The sequence below is a fragment of the Homo sapiens genome, chromosome 2, assembly GCF_000001405.40.
Source record: "Homo sapiens chromosome 2, GRCh38.p14 Primary Assembly".
Taxonomy (NCBI): domain Eukaryota; kingdom Metazoa; phylum Chordata; class Mammalia; order Primates; family Hominidae; genus Homo; species Homo sapiens.
Window position 1 is genome coordinate 134,025,488 of NC_000002.12, and position 6,000 is coordinate 134,031,487.

Consider the following 6,000-nt stretch of genomic DNA (forward strand, 5'->3'; position numbering starts at 1 on the left):
TTTTTATTTTTATTTATTTATTTATTTATTTACTTGAGAGGCAGTTTCGCTCTTGTCACCCAGGCTGGACTGCAGTGGCGCGATTTCAACTCACTGCAACCTCCACCTCTCAGATTCAAGCAGTTCTCCTGCCTCAGCCTCCTGAGTAGCCGGGACTGCAGGTGCCTGCCACCACTCCTGGCTAATTTTTGTACTTTTAGTAGAGACAAGGTTTCACTATGTTGGCCAGGCTGGTCTTGAACTCCTGACCTCAGGTGATCCACCCGCCTCGGTCTCCCAAAGTGCTGGCATTACAGGTGTGAGCCACCATGCCCGGCCCTCAGTTGAAATCTTACTGACATTTCGAGGAATATTTCTGGCAGCAACTCTCCCAGGAGACCTATTCTGATCTTCCTGACTCAGTGGTTTCCCTCCCTCCTACAAATCCTCCAGAACTGTCTTCCTGCTCCTGCCCTGTGCCCCGAACCTGACTCTGCCTGATCACATGGCAATTTGTGATCTTGTCTGTATTCTACAGCAGAGCATTTCAAACTGCAGGTGTGAAACCCACTAAAGCACACTAACTGAAAGAAGTTATTGGGTCTTGACCAGCATTTTCAAAAATAAGTAAGTAGAATAGAAAAGAATATCAGAGTGTGTTCCATGGAGTAAGAGCAAGTATTTGTTTCACGAAAATTTTCAAGCAGTTGTGTGTGTGTGTGTGTGTGTGTGCGCACGCGTGCACGCACGTGTGTGTGCACTGAGGTTGCAACATAAAAGATATTTCTAATGGGGATTTATTTTTAATGGGTACAGAGTTTAATTTTTCACATTGAAAGAGTTATGGAGATCTGTTGTACATGAATATACTCAACACTACTGAACTGTACACTTAAAATGGTTAAGATAATAAATTTTATGTTATATTTCACACAAATAAATATAATTTTTAAGAAAAGAATTTTTACTGTGAATCACGGCCTGAAAAGTTGGAGAAACACTGTTCCACTGGATTGAGGTTATTTTACTGCATAGAACATGTGTGATGTATCTTTTCATTCTAAGCAGCACACACCTGGCAGCACCAGCTCAGCATAAACGCCTTAAATGTCCTTTGAACTGAATACATCTCTCATTAAAAAGCAACATGTAAGTGCCCATCATATGTGATCCATGTACACATACACATACATGCCATGCACCTCCACTCTTCCACCCCTCCCCAAACACACAACCCAGTCATGCTCCCTCCAGCACCATAGTTAAAGCCACTACAGAGTCTCCTATGCCTGGCAAATACTGGGGAAGGAGAACGAGGAGATCCAGGGTGGGACATAGGAACGGAAAACAGATTTCTGGCCCTTGACAAAGTCCCTGCATTGCCTGATGGCAACCTGCCCCCTCTCTGAGTGAGGATCCTCTCCCCACAGCCCTCAACCCCCAGTGTGTGCTGGGCAGCGTTCCTTACTCTACAGCTTCACAGGAAGCTGTGCTGTCTCAATGAGGAAAGTTTAGCCTCCCGAAGTGTGGGAGCACTCCCTGAAGGCAGACACCATAGCTCCTCCGAGGAGAAGACCCTGTTGCCTGCCTTTCTGCCTGCATAGCTGAGAATAGACAAACAGCTGTGGCTACAAAGTCCTTGGGGGATCTCATGGGAACTAAAACCATACGTGAAATCAGAGAATGAATCCCCCTCCCATCCCCTCAGCAAGAGATTGCTGGCACAGGAAGAAATCCTTACTGCTTCCCTAACAGGTGTGGGGACACCTGGCCCAGGATCTGGGCTAAGGGCCCAAAAGCAGTCGTGCTTATTCTTTGTGTTGCCACCAAGGGGTGAGTGGTGGTTCTGGGACAGGCACTATCCCTTCACACAGGCCCAGGCAAGCCTGGGAGGACTGGGCAGGGTGGGGAAGGGGGATGCTGTCCTGACATCGTCGTGCAGAGCAACAGAAAATAATACTCCTCATCGTGGGATGGGGTCAGTGCCTGGATCAATGTTCTACTTAGGGAGAAATTGTACTAGATTAACACAGACTAGAGAGATCGTAGTATCTGAGTGACTCCGTGTTTGTATTTTGTGTATTTGAGTCAATAGCCCCAGAACAACAAAAAGAATCGTCTTTGTGAATAAATCTCTCACTGATAGGAAGAGCTCTAAAGGGACCCAAGTAAAGAGCCAAGACCCCCAAGGGCTGTCCTGCCCTGCCTAGTTCTGGGGAGAGGGAGCTGGGGGCGGAGGACAGAGGGAGGGAAACTGAGGCCAGGCCGACCTCTGGGCCAGGGCGGTGGGCCTCTCCTAGCGTGGGGGGTTGAAGGGGCTTCTCCCTGGGGCTGCAGCTGCACCCCTGCAGGGGCGCCTTTCCTACTACGCTGCAGGGAGACGGCGTTCCCCGGAGTTGGGGAGGGAAGTGCGTTGTAGCCCCAGATTCTCTTTCACAGGAGGCTGAGCTGAGGGGGACCGGGCGAGGAGCAGGGCGTCACCCACTGCGAAGGGCTAACTCCGTGCCTTTCTCTGGGTAGCCACAAACCCAACACCCAGTCAGACCAACCACAGTTCCCAAACGGCTTCCTTCCATGCAGCTCCCTTCCGTTCCCGCCCCTGCCCTGCCCTTCAGGGAAGCCGGGAGTGGCGGCTGGGCAGTGGCCTTCCCGCGTGCCCACATCCAGGCGGAGTGGAGCGGCGCTCACGGGCAGGGCCAGGCGTCCAGTGGTGTCCCAGGGGACGCGGGGTGGGAAGCGACCCAAGGCTCTAAGGGGAATGGACAGGGGAGGGCGCCGACCTCACAGGGACGCCTGGGGAACACATCGGAGCCACACCTCTACCTCCTAACTCTACAGGAAGGGATCTTGCAGGGAGCAGGAGCACCCGGTGGCACATGCCTTTTGGGAGAAGGGAAGTGAATTCGCTGTTCTCACTTTTTCAGAGCTGTGAAAAAGTCTGTCTGGCTTCTGACCCAGAGAATCTTACCTTTTTTGTCTTTTGAAGAGAAGGGCGCTTAATGAAGAAAAAAAAAAGCTGTCATCTTCTAAACAAGAGGAACAATTATTTTTCCAGCTTTTTTCTCTTGGAAAGAAATTTACTTCCTGTTCGTAGTTCATTCCTTCCCTCTTACACGCATGCGTTCATTGAGGAGGACTCTTCCCAGTCGCCTCCTTGCCCAGCCTGCTAACTGCTAGAAACCAACAAGGGCATACCAGGGTCTGACTTGGGAAGAGTTGCCAATCCATCCAGGAGGGCCCAGTGAAAGCAAACATTCCGAAGGTAGGTAGCCATGATGGAGGGCAGCCCCCAGAACATGAGCAGACCTCCCCTGCAGGAATCCTCTCCCTGTGGGGAGGGAGCAACGAATCAAATCTCAGCTCCCTGGGGGATATCTGACACCCCCACCTGTGGGATTGTGCCATCCCCAGCCTCAGATAACACATGAACACACACAAAGAGAGCCCCAACTCCAAGCTTTCAGAGAAGTGACATTTTAGCATTCTTGAAAGATGAAGCAGATGTTGCTCAGGGAAAGAAGGCAAGGAAGGATGATCTAGGCAAAGGGACAGGTCTATACAAAGGACAGTGGCTTGAGAACGTGTAATGCATTTAACTGACCTTCTGGAGGGCAGTTGAGTTAGAGAGGATGCAGGGGGTACCCAGACAGAGTGATGAGAAGAGACTGAGCAAGTAGGGTCAAGTCCCACGTGGGCTTGAGAAGCGAAGGAATCGCTTCAGCTCTAAATTAGCTCGGATGTATTTGCAGCAAGTTAATTTTCCCTGTTTGGATAATATTAAGTATTCAGCTGCCAGACAGTGGGGTGGGGAGAACTTTCAACAATACTAAAAGAAACCCATACCTTGATAATTTACTTTGCTATCTGATGAGCATGAAATTAATTTCCATATTAGCACATTATGTGGAGATAAGACACAGATAATACAAATTACAAAAGACACGTAGGTCTCTTACTAAATTTCTGAGGAATACAGTGTGTGCATTAGTCTGAAGCCAGGGAACCTAACGCGAGAGAGATTTGCAGGGAGCAGCAGTACAGAGATGGATTACCCGGAGAAATAGGTTTGGCTCTGGTGCTGATGTTTTCTTTTCCTCTGTGAATGGAAAAAGATAAGACATTTCTTATAAAATGTAACCATTTCTGGCATGCTTTCCCCCAATTCCTCACACATGCACACTCCCCAAGTGCTGCCAGACACAGAGGCCAGCTCTCAGCAGGACAACGGAAGTTCATTATCCAGCCATGTAGGGCTCTCCAACCCAGGCCCCCACGATCCTTGCAGAGGAATTGTGCAAATCCAGGGGGAAATGCCAGTTTCCAGTCCTCTCCGGCTTGGCTCTGTGTTCTGTCAGTCCAGCTTTGAATGATGAATTGATGAATTTCCCATTCGGCCTAAGGCTCTGAGACACCATCACCACTGAGCCTAATCCTAATGCGTTTTTAACTTTTTCCCCTTTTTAACCAGGCTCCAAGGAGAAAAGATTGCTTTGAAAATACTCCCTGGACAGGCTCACAGACAGCCAGAAGGATGAATGCCACTTTATTTGAAAGACTGAAGGCACTGGGGGTAAAAGAGTTGTTAGAAACAACCAGCATGGGCTTCAGACCCCCATGGCTGTGGCCAAGGCCAGCTTGTAGCACCCTCAGGACTGCTTGTGGCCTGCCTGGCCCTCTCTACATAGAGAGGAGGATGTTTAGCAGGTATATAGCATGTGAGCTGTCCTATTCTGGAAAGAATGGAGACAAGGGCCAGGACTCGGTTGGCCATGACCTTGCTGTATGACCTTGGGCAAGTCACTGAATCTTCCTTTTTCCTCCCCCGTTCAATGAGGAGGTTGAGCTACATGATCTCTAATATCCCTGTGAATGTTAATGTTTATTATTTCTATTATTCTATTGATTAAAAGCCATGTCATGTTTTTGCCTTATGGTGGACATGGTGGTGGGCCTTCCAGATAACCCTTTAATGAAGACCTTGTTGACCAGCAGTTGAGAATGTCATCGGGAAAAATGGCCTCTGCTGCAGAGGGCTGCCTGACCAGATGGATGTGGGTGTCAAGGCTTGGACCTTTCACCTCTACTTGTTACTATGCCAAAGGGTGTTCTAGCTCCACAACTCCTCACGCAGTTGCCAAGGCTGTCATTGGGCCTCAACTTCTCTCCCTGCCCAATCCTGCTTCAGCCCCTTCCTCCCATGAAAGCTTCGCCTTAACAAGTAGCCTGCATATTACCCTACTTCTCAGAGTTAGCTTCCTAGGAAGCCCAGCCTGACACACCCATTTCCATAGACTCATACAATTTTGAGCCTCCAACTTTTCCTTCCCCAGCCTAGTCTTCCTCCATTGCCATTTTACAAACAGAGAAATAACAGCTCAGAGAATGACTTACCAAGTTCACTCTGTCGGCAGAACTAGGGCTATATCTTCAGTTCTCTGAGTCTCGGCCATGTCCTCTATCCATCATACCTCACTGCTTTCCCCAACCTATCTCATCTTCCTTGCATAGTGCAGAGAGACATGTAGGCAGAGATAGATCGACTCATCCATCCATCTCCACTGCAAGGGACGTAATAAGCAAAGGCATGAATTCATGAGTTATTTGCTGCCTCTACTTTAAATAGATAAGCCATCAGTTTTCATTTGGGGATTTTTTTTTAACCTCTCTGCAAGGCTGTATCACAAAGACACTACAAGCTCTGGATTAGGAACTAGGAAGCTTGGGTTTTCATCTCAGCTCCTCACTCTCACATTGCAAAAATGCTGCAGCTTGCTATTAGGCTCTTTCAGATGTGAAGGCTGATTGCTCTGGGCCTCCACTGAGGGTAGAGAGGAGAGTTAATCATGGAATAATAACCGGTGATGATGGTTATGTAAGATGTTATCATTGGGGGAGCTGGGTGAAAGGTACACAGGAACTCTCTGTGTTATTTTTGCAACTTCTTGGAATCTAAAAATATTTAAAGAGGAGAAGGTTTAAAACAATAATAAAACTAACCAGTGATGGTCTCACTTATTCTAA

The 6,000-nt window shown here is 48.4% G+C and overlaps 1 long non-coding RNA gene across 2 annotated transcripts in view; it reads right to left on the bottom strand.

The window, feature by feature from the left end:
* Nucleotides 1-5,799, bottom strand: part of LOC105373628 (uncharacterized) — a 45,070-nt gene extending 39,271 nt beyond the window's left edge. For both annotated transcript variants that reach the window (XR_001739715.2, XR_923353.2), the window contains exons 1-3: nt 5,371-5,799; nt 4,032-4,075; nt 2,948-3,307 (exon numbers count right to left, since the gene is read on the bottom strand). This is a non-coding gene — a long non-coding RNA (uncharacterized LOC105373628). The remainder of the gene's footprint in view (nt 1-2,947; nt 3,308-4,031; nt 4,076-5,370) is intronic.
* Nucleotides 5,800-6,000: the final 201 nt, after the last annotated feature.